Genomic DNA, 26,475 nt, shown 5'->3' with positions numbered 1-26,475 from the left:
CTAAGAAGGTATTACAATTGTGAGTATACATACACCCAACTTTGGAACACCTAAATATACAAAGCAAATAACAATAGAACTGAAAGGACAAACAGACAGCAATATAATAGTAATAGAAGACTCCAATATGCTACATTCAATCTTGGATAGATATCCAGACAGAAAATCAATAAACAAACAGCATTCAATGAAATACTAGCAAGCTGAATTCAATAGCACATTAAAAGGATTATACACTATGATCAAGTGGAATTTATCCCTGGGATGCAAGGACAGTTTGACATATACAAAACAATAAGTGAAGTACACCACATTAACAAACAAAGGATAAAAAATATATGATCATTTTAATATATGCAGAAAAAACATCTGACAAAATTCAATATCCTTTCATGATTAAAAACTCTCAACAAATGAGTTATAGAGGAATGTACCTCAACATAATAAAAGTCATATATGACAGCCCACATCTAACATCATATTCAACAAAGAAAATCTGAAAACTGTTCCTTTAAGGACAGGAACAGCACGTTGTGCACATGTACCCTAAAACTTAAAGTATAATAATAATAATAAAAAGAAAGAACAGGAACAACACAAGTGTGCCCACTCTCACCACTTCTATTCAAAATAGTACTGGAAGTGTTTGCCAAAGCAATTAGGCAAGAAGAATAGATAAAAGAAATTCAAAAAGAAAGATGTTAAATTGTATGTTTGCAGATTATATGATCTTATATATAGAAAACCCTAAATACTGTTAGAACTAATACACATCTTCATTAAAGTTGCAGGATAAAAAATCAACATATAAAATACAGTTGCATTTCTATGCACCAACAACAAACTACCCAGAGAAGAAATTAATAAAATGGTCTCATTTACAATAGCATCAAAAAAATAAAATACTTAGGAATAAATTAACCAAGGAGGTGAAAGATCTGTACCCTGAAAACTAGAAAACATTGATGAAAAAAATTGAAGAAGATACAAATAAATGAAAAGATATACCATATACATGGATTAGAAGAATTAATATTGTTAAATTGTCCATACTCCAAAACAGTCTGCTGATTCAATGAAGTTCCTATAAAATTCCAATGGCATTTTTCACAGAAATAGAAAAAACAATCCTAAAGTTCATATGGAACCACCAAAGACCCCAAATTGCCAAAGCAATTTTGAGAAAGAAGAACAAAGCTGGAGGAATCACACTCTTTGATTTCAGACTATATTACAAAACTATGGTAATCAAAGAAATATGGTACAGGCACACAAACAGACAATGACAAATAAAACACAATAGGAAGCCCAAAAATACACCCATGCATTTATAGTCAACTAATCTTTCACAAGGACACCAAGAATACACAATGGGGGAAAAGGATAGACTCTTCAATAAATGTTGCAGGGAAAACTGGATATCCACCTGCAAAAGAATAAAACTGGATCCCACTCTTAAACCATATACAAAAATTAACTCAAAATGCATTAAAGACTTAAACATAAGATCTGAAAATGTAAAACTCTTAGAAGAAAATATAAGAGAAAAGCTCCTTGACATGGGGCATAGCTAAAACTTTTGGATATGACACCAAAAGCACAGGCAACAAAAGCAAAAACAAACCAAGTGGGACTCCATCAACCTAAAAAGCTTCTGCATAGTAAAGGAAACAATCAACAAACTGAAAAGGCAACCTATGGGATGGAAGAATATATTTGCAAACCACATATCTGATAAAAGGTTAATACTCAAAATATATAAGGAACTCACACAACTCAATAGCAAAACAAAAACAACAACAATAAAAACACAAATAACCCGATTAGAAATGGACCAAGGACCTGAATAGACATTTTTCCAAAGAAGACATATAAATGGCCAACAGGTATATAAAAAAGGTGCTCACTAATCATCAGAGAAATGCAAGACAAAGCCACAATGAGATATCATCTCACACCTGTCAGGATGGTCATTACAAGTTGAGCATCCCTACTCTAAAAATCCAAAACCTGAAATGCTTCAAAACCTGAAAGTTTTTGAGCATTAACATGTCACCACAAGTGGAAAATTCTACATCTAACCTCATATGATTGGCCATAATGAAAATGCAGGCACACAACACACAGTTCATTCAGCATCCCCAATGGGGAAGCCACCCCCATCCCCCTTCAGCTGTGACATGTCTTTTCTGTACATGTCCAGATTTTCGCATGTAAGCACATCCACCAAGGGTTATAAAATGGCATAACCCATTTAAAAACCCATTTTTAAAATGGTGTGGAGGCCAGATGCACCAATTTCAGGTTCTCCACAATGCCCCACATGGGGCCAATACCTATGTGCATTACTTACTGTGGTATTTCTTTTGGCTTATTCTCTGCTCTGTGGTGTAAAGATATTATTGAAAATGTCAGAAAGGCCTACAGATACTCCTGTGGGCAACACAGGAGAGAAAAAGAGGACACAGTTATGTTTATCTATAGCACAGAAAATCAAGCTATTGGAGAAGCTGGACAGCAGTGTAAGTATGAAATGTCTTACAGAAGAGTATGGTGTTGGAATGACCACCACATATGACCTGAAGAAACAGAAGGATAAACTGTTGAAGTTCTATGCTGAAAGCAATGAACAGAAGTTAATAAAAAAAAAAACAAAAATAGAAAAACAGGCTGGGTGCAGTGGCTCATGCCTACAATCCCAGCACTTTGGGAGGCTAGGGCAGGCAGATTACAAGAGCTCAGGAGTTCAAGACCAGCCTGGACCACATGGCAAAACCCCATCTCTACAAAAAAAAATTTAAAAATCAGTCAGGCATGGTGGCTCATTCCTGTAATCCCAGCAGTTTGGGAGGCCAAGGCGGGTGGATCACTAGAGCTCAGGAGTTCGAGACCAGCCTGGCCAACATGGTGAAACCCCATCTCTACTAAAAACACAAAAATAAGCTGGGTGTGGTGGCATGTGCCTATAATCCTAGCTACTCGGGAGGCTGAGGCACGCAAATCACTTGAACCTGGGAGGTGAAAGTTGCATTGAGCCAAGATTGCACCACCGCACTCCAGCCCGGGCGACAGAGCGAGACTCTGTCTGAAAAACAAAGAAACAAAAAACCAAAAAATTAGCTGGGTGTGGTAACGCGTGTCTGTAGTCCCAGCTACTCAGGAGGCTGAAGTGGTAGGATCGCCTGGGCTGGAGAGGTGGAGGTTGCAGTGAGCTGAGATTAAGCTACTGCATTCCAGCCTGGATGACATAGACACTGTCTCAAAACAAAAAAAAACCAACAATAACAAAAAGAAAAACAGTGCATAAAGTTAATAATGAAGATCTCGATCATGTATTGAAAGAATGGGTTCAAAAGTGTTGCAGTAAATACTGGTTGCTGATCATGAAACAAGCAAAGATCTATCACAGTGAACTGAAAATTGAAGGGAACTATGAATGTTCAACAGGCTGGTTTCAGAAATTTAGGAAAAGACAGCATTAAATTTTTAAAGATTTGTGGTGATAAAGCATCTGCTGATCATGAAGTAGCAGAGAAATTCATTGACAAGTTTGCCCGAGTCATCACTAACAAAAATCTGACACCAGAACTAGTCTATAATGCTGATGAAATATCACTGTTTTGGCATTATTTCCCCAGAAAGACACCGACTACACTTGATGAGACAGGAATTAAGGATGCCAGTGATAGGCCGGGCACAGTGGCTCATGCCTGTAATCCCAGCGCTTTGGGAGGCCAAGGCAGGCAGATCACCTGAGGTCAGGAGTTTGAGAACAGCCTGGCCGACATGGTGAAACTGCATCTCTACTAAAAATACAAAAAAAAAAAAAAAAAAGTAGGACGTGGTGGCGCATGCTACTGGGGAGGCTGAGGCACGAGAATCGCTGGAAGCTGGGTGGCAGAGGTTGGCAGTGAACCAGAATTGCGCCATTGCACTCCAGCCTGGGCAACAGAGCGAGACTCCGTCTTAAAAAAAAAAAAAAAAAAAAAAAGATGCCAAGGATAGAGTAACCCTGCTGGGATGTGTTAATGTAGCAAGCATCTATAAGTATAAACTTGCTGTGATTGGCAAGAGCTTGCATCCTCACTGTTATCAAGGAGGAGATCTCTTACCAGTCTACTATTATGCTAACAAAAAGGCACAGATCATCAGGGACACCTTTTATGATTGGTTTCACAAACATTTTGTACCAGTGGCTAGTACTCACTGCAGGGAAGCTGGAATGCGTGATGATGTAAGACTTTGTTATTCCTTGATTACTGTTCTGCTCATTCTCCAGCTGAAATTCTCACAAAAAATAATGTTTATGCCATGTACTTTCCCCCAGATGTGACTACATTAATTCAATGTGACTAGGGTATCCTTAGGTCAATGAAGAGTAGATGTAAAATCACTTTATTGAACAGAATGCTAGCAGCAGTGAACAGAGGCATGAGTGCAGAAGGTTTTCAAAAGGAGGTGACATGAAGGACGCCACATATACTGTTGCCAGCGCTTAGAACACAGTGACTAAAGACATAGTTGTGCATGCCTGGTGCGACCTCTGACCTTTGACTATGTTCAGTGATGATGATGAACAAGGTGGTGACTTTGGAGAATTGTGTATCAAGTGAGAAAGAACTGGTGTCAAGTGAGAACAAAATGATATATGGCTTTCTTTCATATGCAAAAAATATACCTTCAGAGTCTGCCAGTAAGTTAGAAGAAGTAGATAGCAAAGGGCTTTTTGACATTGATAATAAGGCTCCAGTTGTTTACTCATTGGCTGATGATGAAATAGACACATGGCTCCAAACCAAAGTGATCATGATAATAGTGGCAATGAAGATGACATTGTTAACATTTTTTGCAGAAAAAATGTCTATAGATGGCATGGTGAAAATGTGTGATGGGCTTATTGAAGGACTAAAGCAGCATACATTCACAACAGAACAAGAAATCGTGTTCATTTATAAAATCAAAAAGACACTTCTAAGACAAAATCTGTTGTTGGCTGGGTGTGGCGGCTCATGCCTCTAATCCCAGAACTTTGGGAGGCCAAAGCAGGAGGATCGCTTGAGCCAGGAGTTCGAGACAGGCCTGGGCAACATGCTGAGACTCTGTCTCTACAAAAATAAGAAATAAATTAAAAAAATTAGCAGGGCATGGTGTTGTGTGCCTGTAATCTCAGCTACTTGGGAGGCTGAGGCGGGAGGATTGCTTGAGCCCACGAGGTCAAGGCTGCATGGAGCCATGTTCCCACTACTGCCTTTCAACCTGGGCGACACAGTAGCAAGACCCTGTCTCAAAAAAAAAAATGGTAAGTCATATTTTTTACTGTTAAGTACTTATCTGTGAATAAATGTAAAAAAATGATTGTTTAATTAGTAGCATATACATTCAGATTCAGGCATGATGATGATGCCAAACAACCACAGATTATCCACATTGGTGGCAGAGATCGTGACACTTTTGCTTTCTGATGTTTCAGTGTACACAAACTTTGTTTCATGCACAAAATTATTTAAAACATTGTATAAAATTACCTTCAGGCTATATGTATAAGGTATATATAAAACATAAATGAATTGTGTGTTTAGACTTGGGTTCCATTCCCAAGATACCTCATTACATATATGCAAATATTCCAAGCTTTTAAAAAAAATCCAAAATGCGCGGCCGGGCATGGTGGCTCACACCTGTAATCCCAGCGCTTTGGGAGGCCAGGGCAGGTGGATCACGAAGTCAGGAGTTCAAGACTAGCCTGGCCAACATGGTGAAACCCCGTCTCTACTAAAAATACAAAAATTAGCCAGGCATGGTGGTGGGTGCCTGTAATCCCAGCTACTTGGGAGGCTGAGGCAGATAATTGCTTGAACCTGGGAGGTGGAGTTTGCAGTGAGCCAAGATCGTACCACTGCACTCCAGCCTGGGCAACAGAGTGAGACTCTATCTCAAAAAAAAAAAAAAAAAAAAAAAAATCCCTTCAGATAAGGGACACTCAACTTGTATTAAAAAAAAAAAAGTGTTGGTGAGGGTGTGGAGAAAAGGGAACGCTTATGTACACTGTTGGTGGGGATATAAGTTGGTATGGCCATTATGGAAAATAGTATGAAAGTTTCTCAAAAAATTAAAATAGAAGTACCATATAATCCAGCAATCCCACTTCTAGGTGCTTGTCCAGAGGAATTGAAATCAAGGTCTTGAAAAGTTACTTGCACTCCTATTTTCATTGCAGCATTATTCAAAATAGCAACGATATGAAAATAACCTAAATGTCCATCAACAATGAATGAATAAGGCCATGCGCGGTGGTTCACTCCTGTAATCCCAGCACTTTGGGAGGCCGAGGCCAGTGGATCACTTAAAGTCAGGAGTTCGAGACCAGCCTAGCCAACATGGTGAAATCCCATCTCTACTAAAAATAAAAAATTAGCTGGGCATGGTGGTGGACGCCTATAATCCTAGCTACTCAGGAGGCTGAGGCAGGAGAATCACTTGAACTCGGGAGGCAGAGGTTGCAGTGAGCTGAGATTGTACCACTGCACTCCAGCCTGGGTGATAGAATGAAACTCAGTCTTAAAAAAAATAAAAAATAAAAAAATGAAAAAAATGAATAAAGAAAATGTGGTGCATACATATACAATGAAATGTTATCCCACCTTAAAAAAGAAAATAAAATCTTGTCATTTGCAACAACATGGATAGACCTGAAGGACATTATGCTAAGTGAAATAGGCCAGACACAGAAAGACAAATCTGTAAGATCTCACTTGTGTGTGGAACCTAAAATAGTCAAACTCTTAGAAACAAAGAAGAGAATGATAGTTACCAGGGGCTGGGGGAAGGGAAAGATTACACGATGTTGGTCAAAGGGTGCAAAGTTTCAGTTATGCAAGATGAATGAGTTCTGGAGATCTAATATAAAGCCTGATGACTATAGGTAACAATACTGTACTATATGCTTGAAATTTTCTAAGAAGGCAGATCCCAAGTTTTCTCACCATGCACATGAAAAAGGTAACTATGTGAGGTGACAGATATGTCAGTTGTCTTTATGGCAGTGATTATTTCACAATGTATATCGAATCAAATGGTACACCTTAAAATATACAATAAAAAGGATAAAATGATGCTCTCAAAATAGACAAATAAATAAATACTTTTTAAAAAGAATGCACAGGTAGGGATAAAATGCCTATAGTAATCCATTGAGCAAATTTAGCTTTTTAAAAAAATTCTCATCATCATAAATAAATGAAGTTTTTAAGCTCTAAAAACAAATTTTGCCAGGTAATCTTTCCCTCTTTACTTTAAAAAATTTTTTTAAATTATGAAATAAAACAGATCTAGAAAAGAAAAGTCGGCCATTGGATTTTCAGATAAGGTCATTTTGATTAACTACTGAGCATCCTCCGTGCTTATTTCAGCATTAGTGTCCAGTTTTTATAATTTTTCAGGGTTTTCTTTTATCTTCCTAATTAATGCTTAGTCCATTACTTGTGCTCTTGCCTATTTGTAAGAGCAAAGAGTTAGAACAACCTAAATATCAAATAATTTATGTGTTACTTAAATAAATTATGGCCATTTACTGAACTGTATGTATGGAGTGATCCAAGCTTTATAAAAATTAATGACACCTTGGGAGGGATCCACAGCAAGGTGTGACCAGTGGTTCTCTCTGAGAGTGTAGGGTCGTGGATGTTCTTCTTTGGCTCATTTGTAAATTTTTCTGTAATGAGTATACACTGCTATTTTAATAAGAAAAATGTATACTCATATACTCAATAAGAAAAGTAGAAATAAGAACAATAGTAATAAATAATAGCTAACATTAAACACCATATACCAGTGCACCAAATGCTTGATATAAATCACTTATTGAATGCAGCAACATAATGTGACACTATTACTTACTTTTAAAAAGAAACTCATTTTTAGAATAGATTTATAGAAAAGTTGCAAAAACAGCACATAGACTTCCCATATTCTGCCTCACACCCAGTTTCTTCTATTGTTAACATCTTACATTAATATAGTATGTTTGTGTACTAGTTCATTCTCACACTGCTATGAAGAAATATCTGAGACTGGGTAATTTATAAAGAAGAGAGGTTTAATTGACTCACAGTTCTGCATAGCTGGGAAGGCCTCAGGAGACTTACAATCTTGGTGGAAGGCACCTCTTCACAGGGCAGCAGGAGAGAGAATGAGTATAAGCAGGGGAAATGCCAGAAGCTTATAAAACCATCAGATCTCGTGAGATTTGCTCATTATCACGAGAACAGTATGGAGAAAACTGCCCCCATGATTCAATTACCTCCACCTGATCCCTCCCACAACACGTGGGAATTCAAGATGAGATTTGGGTGGGGACACAGCCAAACCATACCAATTTGTCACAACTAACATCCACACTTCTTTCAGACTTGCTTAGCTTTTTTTACTGAATGTCCTTTTTCTGTTCTAGGATTCCATCCAGGAGACCACATTGCATTTTGTTATCATGTCACCATAGGCTAATCATGGCTATGCCAGTTTCTCAGACATTCCTTGTGTTTGATGTCCTGAACAGTTTTAGGAAGTGCTGTCAGGCATTTGGTGGAATGTTCCTTGACTGGGGTTTGTTTGGTATTTTTCTTATGATTAGGCTGAAGTTATGGGTTTGGGGGAGGAAGGCCAGAGAAGTGGGGTGTCATTCTCATCAATCATATTGAAGACATGTTATGACTTCTCACTAATGATGCTAGCCTTGGTCACCAGAGTGAGGTAGTGTTTGCCAGCTTTCCACTGCGAAAGGTTTCCTTTTGTCCCTTTCCATACTGTAGTAGCTGGAAGGAAATCACTGGCACAGCCCACGCTTCAGGAGTGGGGAGTTACACTCCACCTTCTTAAGCATGGAGTATCTACATCAATATTTGGAGTTCTTCTTTACAGATTTGTCTATTCTTTCCCATTGATTCACTTATTTCACTCAATCATTTATTTGTCTCAGTATAACTCCTGGATCTTTGTGTTATATGTTGGGTTATAATTCAGTAGTACGTTATGTATTTTGTTGCTCAAATTGTTCTAGCTTTGGCCACTGGGAGGCTGAGGTGGGAAGATCACTTGAGCCCAGGAGTTTGAGTCCAGCCTGGGCAATATAGCAAGACCGCATTTCTAAAATTTTTTTTTTTAATTAGCTGGGTGTGGTGGCATGCATCTGTAGTCCCAGCCTGGAATGGCTGAGATAGAAGGATCACAGGAGCTCTTTCAGTGGGCTCCTGCATTCCTTTGGCCCCATCACTATGACTCACCTTCTGTAAATGAGAAAACTGAAGTAGAGAAAAGCTGAATAACAGCCCAAGGGTCACACTCCTAGTCAGTGAGTGTCTGTTTCTAAATTCTGGGCAGCAAATGTGACCTCTGTACTCCAATATCTCGTCTAAAAAAATTACACACTTGTAGTCCCAGCTACTCAGGAGGCTGAACCCAGGAGCTGGAGGTGGCATTGAGCCGAGATTGTGCCACTGCACTCCAGTCTGGGTGACAGCGAGACTCCGTCGTCTCAAAAAAAATTACAACAAAAAGCAAAAAAACAAAAAATTTTTTTTAAATTAAAAATTATACACACACACACGCACACACACACACGGATGCTTTTAGGACTTTCAAATCTAATTTATCTTTTTTTTTTTTTAATGGCATCTCACTCTGTTGCCCAGGCTGGAGTGCAGTGGCATGGCCTTGGCTCACTGCAACCTCGACCTCCTAGGCTCAAGTGATCCTTCTATCTCAGCCATTCCAGGCTGGGACTACAGATGCATGCCACCACACCCAGCTAATTAAAAAAAATTTTTAGAAATGGGGTCTTGCTATATTGCCCAGGCTGGACTCAAACTCCTGGGCTCAAGTGATCTTCCCACCTCAGCCTCCCAAAGTGTTGGGATTACAGGCTTGAGCCATGGTGCCCAACCTCAACCTGCTTTTGGCCAAATACACGGAGCCCACCTGCTCCAGCACATCATTCCCTGCGCTAACCTCCAGGCAAGAGGCCTGGGTGCACGTCCAGGCTCATGTAGGCCTCCTGCTCCCTCTGTCTGAGAGCTACAAAGGAAAGCAGCGCCCCCAAATGGGAGGCTCCACATGCTGCCCGGCACTATCTTGCCAGCCAGTCCTTTTCTGTGCTCCAGGCACACCAGTTGTCTGCACATCACTGTAACTAGAGAGCACGCACTCCCAGCGTTCCACACTCTTCCCTTGGCCCAGCCCTACCCTCTCCCAACCTGCCAGCCCAGCTGGGGCCCTCCTAAGTCAGCATACACAGCAGGGACTCCACAAGTTGCTGCTGCCCAGCCTTAGTGCTTTCCACAACCCTGTCCCATCCTTCCTCTCCCTAACCCTCACAATAACCCTGTTTAGAACCTGTGCCCAACGGACAATGCCTCTGAGGCACAGAGGCTAAATGGCCAGGTTAGGGGCGGAGTCAGACAGAGTTGGAGCCTGCGCCTCTCCCTCTAAATCCAGTGCTCCTTCCCACCCTCTTGCTGCATCCGGTCCCTGCTTTCATCTCCCCAGTGGGAGATGCTTACTCAAGACACCCCCTGCCCCTTGCCAGGCTTGCCTTGGTATCTGGGTCACCTCTTCAAAGGTAGTCATCTCCCTGCATCTGCCAACAAAAAAGGAAGCAGCAGAGAGCTGAGGGGTTCCAAGCCTCTCCCCTCTGACAATAGTGTCACAGACAGTACCAAAGTAGACATGAAGTACGAGGAAAAAACCAAGGCTGGGCGGACACCCTGGGGTGCACAGGCACAGCCCCAGAGAGCGGAGAGCAAGGTTTCCCAAACTCGACACTACTGACATTTGGGGCCTGAGAATTCCAAATTATGGGGGCTGCCCTGTGCATTGTAGGATAGTTAGCAGCATCACTGGCCTCTACCCACTAGATGCTGGTGACAGGTTGTGAAAACCAAATATGTCTCCAAACATATTGCCAGATGTCCCATGGGGTCCAAAATTGCCCCTGTTTAAGAACCCCTGGCCTCACATTTCCAGGACAGAGTCACTTTAGCTGCACTCTTTTCAAGAAATGTATTTAATATGTAACGGATTTGACTTGGATGCTTTTAAAGGACTTTACACATCGATCAATTCACAAATTATTTATCAGGTCTGCTGTCCTGATTTAGGATTTTAAAATACGATCCCAAAGCATATGCTCAAATAGAAGACAGCTACCCTCTTCTAGGTTGGGAAGAACAGCTGAGGCCTGAACTCTTGCCCTCTGCCCAAAGGCCTGGCATGCTGGGGATGCCTAAGTCAGTGCCAGCCAGCCTTAAGAAGAGGTCTAGTGGCTGAACCCGAGGTGCCAGGTGATCTCTGGCTGAGACACAGACCGTCTCTCAATGTCTCTGCCCACTGTCCACATATGCCTTCCCCGTTCCAGAGCTTGGCCCATGAAAACAAAATGGATGCCCAAAGAGTAGCAGGTGCATGGTGACCTCGGCTCCTGAGGCCTGAGTGAGCAGAGGGCAGAACCTCTCCCACACACCCCCACACCCACCATTCTCAACATGGTGGATGTGTTCGCCAGGGGTACTGGGTTAGCGTTGAGTTTTCAGGCCAGAGGAGCAGAAATACCATCTACGCAAAGGATCAGTACTTTGCCCAAATTGCAGAAGCTTTTAATAAGCCTTTACGCTTCTGAAAGATGGTGAGACGGAGAGGGCGGGAGAGCTGTTTTCTGTTTCTCCCAAGATGGACACAAAGTCTGAGCTTCTCCTGAAGGAGAGCTTTAGACAGGGCAACTTCTGGCAGCCAGGGCATGAGGCTCTAGGAATGGAGAGAATGGAGTTGGTGAATCCTCACTGGCCATGGGCAGGGAGGAAGCTGCGCGGCCCTTCTCACTCCCTCCTAGTTCAAGTCCTCTGGCTTGGATTCCCACCTGGGAATGGAGATCCAGCCAAGCACGTTCAGACTCAGTAGGTCAGGATGGAACTTGGATGACGTTAATGCTTTTAATCAACGCCCTGGGCAGTTTGGAAACACTGAGGAGGCAAATTCATGTTCTTTGCTCTCAACATGTCCTTCTCATCCAGCTCCCCTCTCTCTTTGAGAACTTGGCAAGCTCCACTGCAGCCCCAGGCCCCCTGAGGGCACAACTGTGTCATGGACCTCCCAGTGCCAACCAGACGACTGCATTGAATGCTTGCTCAATATATATTTGTTGGAAAACAAATTGTCAAGTAGACCTCTCTATGTGCAAGATGCATATCCTTTTTAAATTTTTTAGAGCAGTTTTCGCTTGACTGCCAAATCGAGAGAAAGGTGTTTGTCTATTCATACAAATTTGTTCATTCATAAGAGGTTTCCCATATTCCCTCTGTACCCCACACATGCACAGCCTCCCCCATTTTCAACATCCCCAACCAGAGGGGTACATTTGTTACGTTCATGCCCTATTTTAATTTTAATTTTATGATTTATTTTTATTTTTTATATTTTATTTATTTCACTCTGTCACCCAGGCTGGAGTACAGTGCAGCTGCTCACTGCAACCTCTGCCTCCTGGGTTCAAGCGATTCTCCTGCCTCAGCCTCCCGGGTAGCTGAGATTACAGGCACCCGCCACTACGCCTGGCTAGTTTTGTATCTATAGTAGAGATGGGGTTTTGCCATATTGGCCAGGCTGGTCTCAAACGCCTGACCTCAAGTCATCTGTCCACCTCAGCCTCCCAAAGTGCTGGGATTACAGGTGTGAGCCACGATGCCCAGCCCCCATATTTTTAATGTTGGGACAAAATATACATATACAACATAAAATTTCCCATTTAAACCATTTTAGGTGTACAGTTTAGTGGCATTAAGTACATTCACATTGTTATGTAACTATCACCACAATCTATTTCTGAAACTTCTTATCATTCCAAATGGAAACTCTGTACTCATTAAGCAATAACTCCTCATTACCCTCTCCTCCCAGCCCCTGGTAACCTCTACTCTCCTTTCTGTTTCTGTGACTTTTCCTATTGTAGATATTTCAGCAAAGCACAATCATACAATATTTGTCCCTTTGTGTCTAGCTTATTTCACTTTAGCATCATGATTTCAAGTTTTTTCTATATTTTATAGCATGTATATACAATATAGAGCAAATAGCATGTATCAGAACTTCACTTATTTGTATGGCTGAATGATATTCCATTGAATGTATATACCACATTTTGTTTATCCATTCATCTGTTAATGGACATTGAGATTGTATTCAACTTTCAGCTACTGTGGATAATGCTGCAATATACACTGGTGTACAAGTATCTGCCTGAGTGTCTGTTTTCAATGCCTTTGGGTGTACACCTAAGAGTGCAATTGCTGAACCACGTGGTAACTCTATGTTTGGCTTTTTGGAGAACCACCATACTGTTTTCCACAGAAACTTCACCATTGTACATTTTCAACAGAATGTACGTGAGTTCCAACTGCTCCACATGCAGGGCTGGTGTGGTGGATCATACCTGTAACCCCAGCATGTTGCAAGGCTGAGGCAAGAGGATCACTTGAGTTCAGGAGTTTGAGATCAGCCTGGGCAACATAGTGAGACCTTGTCTACAAAAAATCAAAAATTAGCCAGGAGTGGTAGTGCACACCTATAAAGCCAGCTACCTGGGAGGCTGAAGCAGAGAGTCACTTGAGTCCAGGAGATTATGGCTGTAGTAAGGTATAATTGCGCCACTGCCCTCCTGCCTGGGCGACAGAGTGAGACCTTGTCTCAAAAAAAAATTTTTTTTTCCTTCACATCCTTGCCAATTTGTTTGGACTTTCTTTCTTTCCTCCTTCCCTTCTCTTCCCTCCCTTTCCCTCTTCCCTCCATCCTTCTTCCCTCCCTCCCTCTCTCTCTCTCTCTTTCTCTTTCTTTCTTCTTTCTAGTACAGATGGTGGTCTCACTATTTTGCCCAGGCTAGATTATAAATCCTGGGCTTAAGTGATTTTCCCTCCTCAGCCTCCCAAGTAGATTGGATGACAGTTGTGCGCTGCCATTCCTGGCTCACTCTCTCTTTAAATTCTAGGCATCCTGGTAAGTGTGGAGTGATATCTCGTGGTTTTGATTTGCAGTTCCTTAATGACTAATGATGTTGAGCATCTTTTCATGTTCTTACTGGTCACTTGTATATCCTCTTTGGAAAAAGTGTCTATTCGAGGTCCTTTGCCCATTTTGTAATTGAGTTATTTTTCTTTTTGTTGTTAAGTTGTAGAAATTATATATTTTGATATTAAATTCTTGTCAGATATATTATTTAGAAATCCTTTTTTCCGTTCTGTGAGTTGCATTTCTACTTTCTTGATAGTGTGTTTGGGTGCACAAAAGTAATTTAATTTTGTGAAGTTCAATTTATCTGTTTTTTCTTTTGTCATCTATGCTTTTAGAGTCACATTTTTTAAACCATTGCCAAATTCAAGGTCATGAAGATTCCCCGCTGTGATTTCTTCTAAGAGTTTTATAGCTTTCGCTCTTAAGTTTAGGTCTTTGATGCATTTGGGGGTTAATTTTGTATATCATGTAAGGTAAGGGTTCAACTTCATTCTTTTGCATGTGGACATCCAGTTTTTCCCACACCATTTGTTGAAAAGACTATCCTTCCCACACTGAATGATCTTGGCACCCTTGCCAAAAATCAAACCTTGTTTGGATTGATGATTTAGTATGACACTTGGAGTCAATGACCAGAGACCCTTTCAACCACGGAGAGCTGGTAAAGGATCTTGTCTGAGAGTGCGGCCGACCCCACCTCCCAAGCAATCCTCTCTATGGCAGTTGCTGCAAGGGGTACTGGGAATGATATGGCTGTCTACAGGAATCTACTTCTTCAAGGGATATTTTAACTCAGCACTTTAAAAGGAGGCAGGGTGGTTTTCTGGGAAGAGATGACAGATGTGCGTTTGAATCCTGACTGTCTCTAGCTCTACGGTACTGGAAGCTACCTTATCTCTCCAAGCCTCATCTGTGCAATGGGATAGTCCTATAGCTGGCCACATCCAATCAGTCTGCCCTGTCACTACTCCAATGGCATTACTCCTCACAGCTCTGTCTCATCCTCTTGCTGCAGGAGTGGGCACATGACCTGACCTGGCCAAATATGGTTTTCTTTGTCCTGTTCCCTGAGTAGATATTGGACCCTCATGGGAGCCAACCAGTCCCCCGAGATAGTTTGCTCTATGCACAGAAAGCAGTCTCCCTTTTCCCCTGGGAATAACGGCTCTAAAGACCATCTGAGCCTAGGCTGCCCTAGTCATTTTTTCTTGCTGCTTGGGTAGGATGTACCTGAGAGCTGAGCCAATAGAGAGGGAAGTCTGGCTAAGAGCTGGAGCCAATAAGAGCCCAGGCTTATTTGACTCCCTGGAACCAGCTATGCCTGAAGTCTACTCCTGCTTTTATCAGTTATGTAGAGTAATACATTCCCTTTTTGGCTTAAGCTCATTTGAGTTGGGCTTTTGTCAGTAGGAGCTAAAAGAGCCCTGACCAGTATATATTTCTCCAGAGCAGTTGTGTGGATTAAGAGAAATGAGGCCAGGTGCGGTGGCTCATGGCTGTAATCCCAGCACTTTGGGAGGCCCAGGCAGGAAGACTGCTTAAGCCAAAGAGTTCGAGGCTAGCCTAGGAAATATGGCGAAAGTCCAGTCTCTACAAAATTAAAAAAAAAAAAAATAGCTGGGCATAGTGGCATGTGCCTGTAGTCCCAGCTACTTGGGAGGCTGAGGTCGGAGGATCACCTGAGCCCAGGAGGTTGAGGCTGTGATGAGCTGTGATCATGCCACTGCACTCCAGTCTGAATGACAGAGTGAGACAGAGCCTGTCTCAAAGAAAAAAAAAAGAGAGAGAGAGAGATTGCAAAGTACTTGCCAGTCAGCACGCATTTTGAGAGAGAGAGAGACCAGCAAGCCTGGTTTTCTGGTGTAGCCACAACTGACAATAGTGGCAAAGGAGAATGGGTTGTTTGTATGGAGGGAGGTGGGCATATGATCCCAGGGGGCCAATCCGAGTGTTTCCCTGTGATTGTTCTAAGTAGAACAGCAGAGCCATTTCCTTTCCTTTTAAGCCACTAAGCTGGATTTCTGTAACCCACAGCTGCCTGCAGCCAAGCCCCCTGCCACATGAAGAAGCCCATCTGTGGTAGGAGAGAGTGATGCCAACACACAGAGAAAAGAAACGAGAGAGAAAGCAGAGAGAGAGAGACAGAGAGAGCGAGCATTCTGAAGGCCAGCTCCCCTTCCCCTGTGCTTCCCAGGTCCTGTGCTTGCCAATAAACTGCCCTTTTTCTTCAGCTTGAGTTGGATTTCTGTCCGTACGACTGAAGGATTCCTGACTAATATGTCCAGAGGCCAGCTGAGGTGAAGCCATAAAAGACCCACTGGGTTGGCTGGACAGCCAGGACTGTGATCCTCACTCCTGGCATGGGAAAAGGCCAACATCTTTCCCTGCTGAGCAGCTCTCACATCTGGGTCTCCAAGGCAGACTGAGACCTGGATGGGGACAGACAGGGCTGACGCAGGGCACTGACACACTTGAATACCCTCTCCAATTGCCACCCTTCAAATCCTTTCACTCAGCGATTGCACTGTCTACAGCCAGTAGACAGAACTGTCGTGATGACTGTGTGGCTAACTAACCTGTTTCCCGAACCCTTGCCTAGTTTGAGGGAGGAGGCCCAGTTCTTCTTCTCTGTTGGTCTGATGAGGGTGAGAGCATGGGTGGTCCTGAACCCCCATGGCCGACTCAATAGGTGAAGAAATGTTCAGGCAGGAGGCCTCAGTGACACTTGGTTTACCTCCCTGTGGCCTCGGTAGCACTTGGTCCATTTCCATGAGTTCTTATCATGCTATGCCTTGTGTACCCAGCATGGCACCCTACATTTCTTGACTAACTCATGTTACTCAATAAACATTGATTGAACACCTACATGTGCCAGGTATATTCTAGGACTAATGATAGAACAATGAACAAAGCTCCATTCTAGTGAGGGAAAGCAATAAACAAAATAAGTAAGTAAAATAGTCTCAGCGCGTCCAGTATCAACAACCAAACAGAGGAAGGGAGGAAGGGAGAAAGGGAGTGAAGGGGGTGAAAGTAGGCTCCTGTTTTACATCAGATGGCCAACGATGGCCTCTCCAAGAAAGAAGTCAGGGACCAAGGAGGGGTGTGTCTGGTACATTCAAGAAATGGCAAGGAATTGCAGGTGGGAGGGTACCATAGTACAGGCACTTTGATAAACAGTTTGGTGGCTCCTCAAAAAGTTAGCATTAACTGCTTTGGATGCTGGTGGGGAAAAATGTTAGAGTTATTATTTGATCCAGCAATTCCACTCCTAGACATACCCAAGAGAAATGAAAACATATGTTCACACAAAGACTTGTACATCAGTGTTCATAGCAGCATTATTCATAATAGTCAAATGTGGAAACAACCCAAATGCCCATCAACCGATGGTGAATAAATAAAACATGGTATCACCAGGTAATGGAATATGATTCAGCTGTACAAAGAATGAAAGTATCAATATGTGCTACAACATGGGTAAGCCTTGAAAATATTAGGCTAAGTGGAAGAAGCCAGTCACAAAAAAAAACACAGAGTATATGATTCCATTGATATAAAATGTCCAGAATGGGCAAATCCACAGAGACAGAGAGTGGATTGGTGGTTGTCAAGGGCTGGGGAGTGACAGTGGTGATTGTTGTGCAATCTTGTAAATATAGTAAAAAACCAGTGAATTGTACCCTTTGATAGTACATTTTATGCAAATAATTTTTTTTTGAGACAGAGTTTCACTCTAGTTGCCCAGGCTGGAGTGCAATGGTGCAATCTCGGCTCACTGCAACCTCCGACTCCTGGCTTAAAGTGATTCTCCTGCCTCAGCCCCCCGAGTAGCTGGGATTACATGCACATGCCACCATGCCCGGCTAATTTTTGTATTTTTAGTAGAGACAGGGTTTCATCATATTGGTCAGGCTGGTCTCGAATTCCTGACCTCAGGTGATCCTCCTGCCTCGGCCTCCCAAAGTGCTGGGATTACAGGCATGAGCCACCGTGCCCGGCCTCAATTTTTAAAAAGAAAGAAAAAATGGCAAGGAGTCCAGAGCACGTGAGAGAAAGAGGGAGGATGCGCAGCACATGACACTGCAGCCATTGCTCAACACATACTTGTTGTCGTGATGTGAAGGCAAGAAGAGTTAACCCCTTCTTAACCTCTGTCTTTCCACCCTGGGGAAGAGACCTCTGGCTCCCAAAGGGGTGAGAGTCAGGGAGGGCAGCTCCCTCTGGGCGCGGCAGGTTCCGGTGTCTGAACAGATGGGGACTGTCATACAAATCCCTCCTATGTCAGGGGAAAGATCAACGAGGCATGGGAGAAGGGGACACCTGAACCAACGTGACCAAGACCAAGACTGGTGACTTAGAAGGAACAACCCCAACCTCCATGTTCCCTTTCCCTGGGCCAAACCTTCCCTTTTCCCCACAGATAGAACCTGTCCTGGGTTCTCTGAACCTCAGTTTTCCTGCCTGTGAATGGGGGAGAAGGGAAATTATCCCTCAGCCTTGACCCAGAGCCTGACGGAGGAAGAAGAGGCAGGGCCCTTGTGTGATGGGCATGGGGGGGTGGGGTGGGGACAACTGCGCCTCTGCAATGGTGCCCCTGGGACCCAGGCCAGATGGGTCCCCCACTCTGGCTCAGATGGAAGCTGCAAGCACAGCACCTGGAAAGGCAGTGCATTAAGTCAGATGGGCCCCTCTCTCCCAGCAAGGTCCCCAGGGAGGGAGCCCTGGAACAGGTAAGTTTCTATCGGTGAGACAAGAGCATGAGGAAGTCTTGGAACACAGGTGCTGTCCAGGTTAGCTGTCCTATGTGAGGGATCAGACGACAGAACACTGTCCATTCCCCCCACTCTGGGTGGCGATCAGGGCAGCCACATTTCCTCCTGCCCTTTGCAGAATGAGTAGACGAGTCTATTTTAGAGATGAGGAAAGTGGAGGCCCAACGAGCCAAATCCCCAGAACCAAAGGTGCAGCTGGGATTTGAACCCAGGCCCCTCGGGCTGCACAGTCGGTGTTCTCATTCATTTGCCTCAATGTTATTCTCTGGCAGCAGGACCTAGCTAGAAATGAGAGTGGAGGCACAGAGCGCGGGCCCAGTGCCCGGGAGGCGGCAGTCAGGCAGGCTGGGAAACCCTGGCTGGCGGCAGGAGGGCGAGGGGCTCCAGGCCTGAACCCAAGCCCCGGACTCCTGGTTTGAACGACTCCAGATCCCCACCTAGTGGTAGGAGGGAGCCACTGCCCGCACAGCGCAGGCAGTCCACAGATGACAGTAATCCGGCCGGGTCACCAGCAACCGTCCTGCGGCAAGAAACGCCCCTCCCCTGGCCGCGCTTCCCTGGGAGAGGGAGGAGGTGTCACCAGCGCGCGTGCGCACGGAGGCTCATTGCCCTCAGGATTTCGTCGCCCTTCATCTGAAGACACCCAGCACGCAGGCCTGTCGAGCACCCCTCTAGTCTCAACCCCCCAGGTTTAGGGCACATTCAGGCAGGGTCTCCTCGGCCCGCGCCTGGCCTCCAGGAGGGGAAGGGGGCAGGCCCAACCCTGGCCGCCGCGCTGGGCTGAGGGGAATGTCCCCACTCGCAGAGCGCCCCCAGGCCCCATCCTCAGCCGCCCTTACGGTCCCCCAAAGGGACGGGAACCATCACTCACTGGTCCAGGCTCCTGGCCGGCCCCACTGTGAAACACCATGAGCAGGTGCTGGTATCCCCACTTTGCAGCGGTGATGGAGGAGTAACTTGCCCAAGTCCATACATTCGTTGACTACCAACACGAAACAAGGCGTGCGTGGGCACCCAACTCAGGAGGAAGAAGGCAGAGGAGTTCCCTGGAGAAGGAGCTAGTGGGCTGAGTTTTTCGGAGGAAGGCAGGAAGAGCACTCCAAGCCCAGGAAAAAGCATGTGCATATGCAGAGGCCAAGATAAGGCCAGCAAGATTAGCCTAGAGGTGGGCAGTGGGGATGGAGTCCTGGGGAGGGGGGCGAGTAGGCAGGACTCACACAGGCCCCAGTGCCAGGCTAAGGAGGCTGGGCTTGACCCCAAGAGCAAGGGAAGGCTTTGGGAGGCTTTAACCAGGGCAGTGACTTCATCTCAGCTGCATTTCAGGAAGGCTGTCTGTGCCACAAGAAAGATTGTGGGGGAAAACATGCTAGGAGCTTCCCCAAGGGACTCAGATAGAGAGGTCTGCCCTGGCCTTGGGGAACAAGGTTGTTGCTCCAGAGTCCAGAAGTTTCCAGACCCTTAGAGAGCAGAGAATCACTGGCACAGCTGGAGAGCAGGGTTTGAGGGCTGGGAGTGTCTGTGGATGGCCTGTAACTTTCTCCTGCAGAGGCAAGTCCTCAGGCAAGACACACACACTCCCTGGGCCTCAGTTCCCCAGGAGACAGAGGAGGCCTGGATGGGGAGACCGGAAGCCCTCTGGAGCTCTCCACAGGGTACTCAAGTGTACTTGGAGGAGGGGCCTCTGGCCCAGGACCTGGGGGTGGGGGGGCTATCCTGGAGGGACCAGGTGCACTTCATTCACTCATCCAGCAAGGGCTTTCGGCACTCCTGCCATGTGTTATGCACATACACATGCACCTACCACACACAGACACACACGAACACACAAAGACATGCCCATATGAAGATGCTTGGTGGGGTAGTTTCCTTGGGAAACCAGGCCAGTTGCCAGCTCCCCAGCCTCTCTGAGGCTCTGCGGCTCCTCTCTGCCCCCAGTTTGCTGGGGCTAAGCCTTTTCGCACCCCACCCCATGCACTGCCGTGTCTTCTCTTGGGAAGGGATATATTCCTTGAATGTCTCTATCTTCTACCAGATCATTGGCTCCCTCAATGGGGGTGCTGGTGTCTGTTTCACTCATTGCTGGGTCTCCTGGCCCAGTGTAGGGGTATGTGTGTGGTGATGGCAAGGTGACCTATTGGGTAACTTGCTCAGACCTGAGGGGTCTCCCAGAACTCAGGATGCCAATAGTCAAACCAGAACTGTCATGGGCAAACGGGGACAGTTATGGGCAGGCAAAGCATGGAAGTGTTGGACAGCCCCCCAAGAAGGAAATAAATAAGACCCAAAGTGGGAGCTGGATGAAGGAACTGACCAGCCAGTCCAGGGCTAAATGTAAACCAGTCCCAGGACAGCCTGCCACAGGGCTGAGCCAAATGCCAGGGGGACTTTGAAGCCCAGGCGTGTGGAGCAGGAACGCCAGGCTCCAGGAAAGGACACAGGCCTGGGGTCGGCCAGAGCCTGGTGTGGCCCTGTGACCTGCTTCTTTGACGCTGTATGACCTTGGGCCATTTTGTCCTCTGTAAAATGGAGATAATCATACCAGCCACCCCGTGCTGAGAATTCAATCAAATGTCTGCATGTTTATTAAGCACACAGTGGCTGTTCCACAGCTGCTCCTGTCGGGCTGAGGAGCAGGCACCATGGAGCCAGAGGACATCCTGCTTGTTCTCTTTGGGAGAGAAATAAATAATATTGAGAGCAAACATGAGCCATGCCCTGAGCTAAGCACAGGATGCAGCCCCCTCTCGGGTAATCCTCTCAACGCCCCTGTTAGGGTTTTACACTGAGAAGCCCCTGCCCGACCAGGGGTCCTTGCAGGCCCAGCTGGGCTGACTGGAGCCATGAGGCCACCCTCCCCCGGGCCTGCTGGACTTGGGCTCTGAGCCAGGCTGCTTCTCCCACGGACACACCTCCTGGCCAGGACATCCGGGCACTCCCTCCCCTGCCCCGTTTGCCCTTTTCCTGCTGCAAGCCTGACTCTCACCCATCATCACTTCATCAGCGAAAGTTTCCAAGGGCCAGGCCCAAGGGATTGTGAAAGAGCTCCGTCCTTTATTTACTGGATGGCCTTGGGCACCTCACTTCATTTCTCTGAACCCCAATGTCATGTCTGTGAAACGAGGACTCATAGTCTCCACCCGGCCAGTGAGGGTCGGGGAGAGGCCACATGTGAAAGCGCATTGACTGCCATGAAGGCTTCCTCGCAAGTAAGAAATTAGCCTGGGGGACCCCCTTAAACATGGGTGCCTGAATGGCCTTCATTGGTATCGCTTTCTCTCTTTGGGGTCTCTCTTTGGAGAGAAGTCACACACAGTCAACAAATTGTAGTGCTGGGCACCAAAGTCACCCCCGCCCCCCCGCCCGCAACCCACTAGTCTGCATCTCTCCAAAAGCAGCTTGCTCGAGGTAGAAGGCCAAGCTGTGACTGACAATCGCACCCCACAGGGAATGGAGGCAGCCGGGACTTAGAATGTAATTTCCTAATTGGGAATTCATCCAGGCCACCAACCCAGTCCCCCACCCCAAGAATCTTGGCCAAGGTCCTCAAGGTCTGTGACTCCACCTATCCCTCTGGCTCAGGTTCCTCAAGCATTAAATGGGAACATGGCTCTTCTCTGAAGCAGTTGAGGCTGGGGGCGGGACGGGGGGGAAACTGGACCCAGGTCAACTGGCCATTCGCAGATCAACTGGATTTTAGTCCAAACTACTTATTTTGCAGATGAGGCTTCTGCAGCCCAGAGAATAAAGTCACATTTTCAAAGAGCACTCACAGCTCTAGAGGCAGAGTTCGACCTTGTACCTATCTATCTCCTGTCCAGTTTTCCTACCAAGCAGCTGCTTCAGCCATAGATGAGCATGTAGATAATTATTAAATCACCAAAGATTTGGTCCTATTCTCTGCTACACTGTACTTTGAAAGAGAAAAGAGCTGAGAGCCTAGTGCAGGGACGACATCTGGCCTGGGTCCCATCACCCAGCCGGTGACTGTATTGCAGTGGAAATGACCCTCGACTGGTGTTAACTGGGCTGCTTTCTAGCCGTGTGCCCTTAGGAAACGTGTGTAGGGTTAATCTCTGAGGGTGCCAGAGCTCATCTGGGGACATAAAAGGTCAGCTGGAAACAGGCTTCTAAGCCCCACCCCCTCCAACTCTGGCATTCCCCAGCCAACGGGTCTTACATCCCCAGCCTCCCATTGAGACTTGACCCAGAGCATTGGTGGCTTTTAATCCAAGGGCGAGATTCTCAGGCTGACCCCTGGGCCCTCCCCAGTCCCCACCACCTCCCGCTGGAATAACGCAGCCCAAAGCCTCCCCTATGGAGGCAGGAACTTAGGTGAGCAGCTCCACAGGGCACATCCTGCCCTCGACCCTGAAGACCCCGCCCTGAAGAGCCGGATGAGGGTGGTGAGGAGGGCGGGTCGGAGCCGAGGGGGCCCTCTCCGCTGGAGGAGCGCTGGATCCCCGCCGATCCTTCCCCTATCCCGCCCGTAAGTCCTCACCGTCGAGTGGGCCCCGCGCTCCTAGGGCCGTGCGCCCCGCGCGCTGCGGATGCCAGCCACAGCCCCCTTCGGAGGGGCCCAGGAGGCCGGAGGCCGGCGGCTCACTTCCCGCAGAGAGAACGCGAGGGCCCAGCCCCGCGGGCGCGCAGAAGAGGACAAGCTGGGGTCTGCAGCAGCCTGGAAGGTCGCCGAGCTGGCGCTGCCGGGCGGTTCTGGCAGCAGGGGAGAAGGCCCCACCCCGAGCCTCAAGCCCTCCGCTCAGTGTGTCCGCAGCCCCGGAGTCCCTCGGTCCCTCGGCGGCCTGTGCCGGGCTCCGGACCCGGCTCTGCCTGTGTCGGTGGCTGTGCCTCCGTGCCCCGCTTGCCGGGGTCCGCAGTCTATCTCCCGCTCTCGCCCGAGGCGGGCTGTGAGGCCGCGGCCCGGGCCCTGGCCTGCAGCGCCATCTCGTGGACCTGTGAGGAGTTGCCGAGGCCCGAGGCCTGGGCGGGCTCTGGGTTCGCTCCCACTCGTGCTCCCGGCGGGGAGCTGCGGGAGCTGCCAAGAGGACTCGCTGGGAAACCAGGCGCGGCCGTCAGCGCTGGAAATCGGTGCTTCCGGAGTGGGTTTGGGGTCCCCGGCCCCATCCAATAGGAGGAACAGATATGCGCCTCCGGAGAGCCCAAAAGGAAGTCCAAGTGCAAAACCGCCCCGGGCGTGCTCGGACACGTTCAGCGCCCGGCAACCAGCCTCCACCCCGAAGGCGCTCCCGGGAGGGTGCCCAGGAGACCCGGAGCTCGGGCTTCCTCCCAAGAGGGCGGGGGCTCCCTCCGCTGCCGCCCTGTCCTGCGAGCAGGGAGCGCTCGGCCTCCTGCGGGATCCCGCCTGACCGCCGGTGCTCCGCACCTCGGGGCCAAGGACAGCGAAGGAGGGGGAGGAAGCGGGACTGGATTTTGGGTCCTTCCCAGAGCGGAGGAAGGCAGGCTCGGGGTATAAATCCAGGGCTCGTAGAGGCTGTCCCTCAAGGGGCCGTCCCATAACCGGGAAATAGGGGGTCCCGGCCTCAAGCCGGGGCGCTTGAGCGTGAGAGTCCCGGGGAGAGCGAGGCTGAGCGCGCCCCTCCCGCCCCAGGAGCACCCCACGCAGGAGTTCGCGGTCAGCTGGGGAGGCGGGCCCGGGAGCTGCGGCCTTCGGGAGGGCAGGGCCAGGCCATACCGGTGGCTCCGGTTCTCCACAGCAGCGGCGGGGGAGTGGAGGAGGAAGGGCTTGAGGGCTCGGAAGATTCCGATTAACCCGAGAGGAAATGAGGTCCCCTGGGCCTTGGGATCCGGGCGGCTTAGCCGCTAGGGGTCTCTCGGAGCCCCTGCACTCACACCCTCCATCTCCGAGTTCCTCCGGGAATCGCACGCGCCACCCCACACCGACACGCACAATTCCCTCTTAGACCTCACACGCCCCACACGCGAGAGCCCGAGGCGACAGGCTAGGCCGCCAGCAGGTATCGCCATCGTCCCAGCACTGGCCCTCCTGCCACGCGTGTGCCGGCGGCTCTGCCGTCCAAGGACCCCGGGCCAGGCCCTGAAGGGTTAAGGAGGCCTTGCGGCACCGGAGCGGCGGGTACGCCGGGCGCCTAGGCTAATTGGCGACCCCGGGGACAATGAGGGCTGGGAGGCCGGGGAGGAGGGTGGCTTAATTGGACATGGGAGTGGCCTAGCCTTTGTCTGGGACAAGGCCCAGCCGCCGGCCGCGGGTTCCCGCAGTCGCACTCAGGCTACCAGCTGGGGCCCCGCGGAGCGCCGGGTGGGCGACTCGGAGGGGACATGTGCGGCGGGAGGTGGCGGCGAAAGTGGTGTGGGGGATCTCGAGGCCCTGGAGTCCCACCCCACCCCACCCGGGTTGCTGCAGCAACGACGCGGCCTAAAAACGGCCGCGACTAGGCCGCCCCGCCCGGCCTTCGCAGGCACCCGCCTCCCCCGCGCCCATGCCCGCACCCGCACCCCTCCCGCGACCCTAAGTCGGTGCTGCCCCCTGGTGTCCGCAGCCCTGTACGTAGGCCGCCGCGGGCGCGCAGCCGACTCTCGTCTCCCTCCTAATGTCCTGCTGAAAGTGAGAAGCCGCGGGACGCAAACGCGCCGCTCCTCTAGGAGTATGAGAGGCGTTTCAGCCCAAAGCGACCTCCAGCAAACGCGCTGCCCACGAGCTTCTATTTAGGCTGGAAAACGGGCTTCTCTGTCCCTGTCGGGTTCCCGGACCTGCCCGCAGGTCTGAGGCAGGGAAGCCAGAACCCACCCTCTGGGGTTGGGATACGTTCTACTGCAACCTCCCACTCGTGCACTGGCTGAGTCCCCTCCCTGCTCCAGCCGCATTCGGCGTGGCCTGGGGGCAGCACCATCCTGAAGAGGCGGGCCTGGTTCTCTCTCTCTCGCTCCTTGCAAATGTATCGGCCCACAAAGGCGTCCTGGGAGTCTGGGGGCCCAACTGTCCATTCCACCTTCACCATCACCGTTCCTCCATCTCAACGTCCCTGGTGTTTTGGAAGCCAGCACCCTCCCCAAGCCCCACCCTGTGCAGTGCCCAAGGTGGGCAGCCTGTTGGGGCAGGGCGTTCAGGGTCCCCAAGGCTTAAAGAGGAGAGAACTGGGAAGGAGGTGGCGTGCTCGGTGACCGACCAGACCCAGGGCTAAAGGAGTGCCCGCCCAGCTCCCACTGCTAGAAGTGGGGGCTGGAGACACCTGCTAGCTGGGCAAGGAGGGGGAGCTCACCGGCGCGGGGTGGGAGGCAGCTGTCCTTGCAGGAGTGGGTCTCGGGGAAGGACCAGCCTAATGGAGACTGACACAGCTGGACCCCGGAGAGACCCCAGCCAAGCCCATTATTATACAGGGGAAACTGAGGCAGGAATGGAAATAGCCCACTGACCCCACTCTCCACTCTCCCAAGAGGGATTTAGATAGATGAGTTAAAGTAAGACCTTTTAGTCCAGATTTTGCCACTCTAGCCAACAGCCCTGACGCGGAGGAAATGTTTGTCTTTGAGGTTCAGGAGGCAGAGAGAGGGGAAAGAATTCTAGGCTCAGCGATATTTGGCGGGGAGTACGGGGGTGGGACACAGCCAAACCCCTCCTCCGAAGGGAGAGGTTGGACAAGGAACACCCATCCTCCCAGCCCACCCACCCAGAAGC

At 48.2% G+C, this 26,475-nt stretch overlaps 1 long non-coding RNA gene across 1 annotated transcript, besides 10 other annotated features; it reads right to left on the bottom strand.

Annotated features, from left to right (window-relative positions):
- Positions 7,961 to 9,160: an enhancer, noted in NCBI's record as "MED14-independent group 3 enhancer chr17:59504513-59505712 (GRCh37/hg19 assembly coordinates)". NCBI's record gives its function as "activates an origin of replication core promoter dependent on BRD2, BRD4, P300/CBP and CDK7 cofactors, and independent of MED14, by STARR-seq in HCT116 cells {active_cell/tissue: HCT116}" and the evidence as "EXISTENCE:reporter gene assay evidence [ECO:0000049][PMID:35650434]".
- Positions 9,657 to 10,156: an enhancer, noted in NCBI's record as "H3K4me1 hESC enhancer chr17:59503517-59504016 (GRCh37/hg19 assembly coordinates)". NCBI's record gives its function as "activates a minimal SCP1, AML or CMV promoter by ChIP-STARR-seq in primed H9 embryonic stem cells {active_cell/tissue: H9 hESC(primed)}" and the evidence as "EXISTENCE:reporter gene assay evidence [ECO:0000049][PMID:30033119]".
- Positions 9,657 to 10,244: a biological region, named in NCBI's record as "Sharpr-MPRA regulatory region 1503".
- Positions 9,950 to 10,244: an enhancer, noted in NCBI's record as "tiled region #1503; HepG2 Activating DNase unmatched - State 8:EnhW". NCBI's record gives its function as "activates a minimal TATA promoter and a strong SV40 promoter by Sharpr-MPRA in HepG2 cells {active_cell/tissue: HepG2}" and the evidence as "EXISTENCE:reporter gene assay evidence [ECO:0000049][PMID:27701403]".
- Positions 19,029 to 19,576: an enhancer, noted in NCBI's record as "H3K4me1 hESC enhancer chr17:59494097-59494644 (GRCh37/hg19 assembly coordinates)". NCBI's record gives its function as "activates a minimal SCP1, AML or CMV promoter by ChIP-STARR-seq in naive H9 embryonic stem cells {active_cell/tissue: H9 hESC(naive)}" and the evidence as "EXISTENCE:reporter gene assay evidence [ECO:0000049][PMID:30033119]".
- On the bottom strand, positions 23,032 to 24,561 carry LINC02875 (long intergenic non-protein coding RNA 2875). The gene has a single exon (NR_160788.1). It is a non-coding gene; the product is annotated as a long intergenic non-protein coding RNA 2875 (long non-coding RNA).
- Positions 23,555 to 23,614: a silencer, noted in NCBI's record as "silent region_8801". NCBI's record gives its function as "represses an Ori minimal core promoter by ATAC-STARR-seq in GM12878 lymphoblastoid cells {active_cell/tissue: GM12878}" and the evidence as "EXISTENCE:reporter gene assay evidence [ECO:0000049][PMID:35858748]".
- Positions 23,635 to 23,694: a silencer, noted in NCBI's record as "silent region_8800". NCBI's record gives its function as "represses an Ori minimal core promoter by ATAC-STARR-seq in GM12878 lymphoblastoid cells {active_cell/tissue: GM12878}" and the evidence as "EXISTENCE:reporter gene assay evidence [ECO:0000049][PMID:35858748]".
- Positions 25,215 to 25,384: a silencer, noted in NCBI's record as "silent region_8799". NCBI's record gives its function as "represses an Ori minimal core promoter by ATAC-STARR-seq in GM12878 lymphoblastoid cells {active_cell/tissue: GM12878}" and the evidence as "EXISTENCE:reporter gene assay evidence [ECO:0000049][PMID:35858748]".
- Positions 25,215 to 25,846: a biological region, named in NCBI's record as "H3K4me1 hESC enhancer GRCh37_chr17:59487827-59488409".
- Positions 25,264 to 25,846: an enhancer, noted in NCBI's record as "H3K4me1 hESC enhancer chr17:59487827-59488409 (GRCh37/hg19 assembly coordinates)". NCBI's record gives its function as "activates a minimal SCP1, AML or CMV promoter by ChIP-STARR-seq in primed H9 embryonic stem cells {active_cell/tissue: H9 hESC(primed)}" and the evidence as "EXISTENCE:reporter gene assay evidence [ECO:0000049][PMID:30033119]".

This window comes from Homo sapiens, chromosome 17, assembly GCF_000001405.40.
Source record: "Homo sapiens chromosome 17, GRCh38.p14 Primary Assembly".
Classification (NCBI taxonomy): Eukaryota; Metazoa; Chordata; class Mammalia; order Primates; family Hominidae; genus Homo; species Homo sapiens.
The sequence above is the reverse complement of the archived record's forward strand: the minus strand, read 5'-3'. Positions and strand labels throughout refer to the sequence as shown.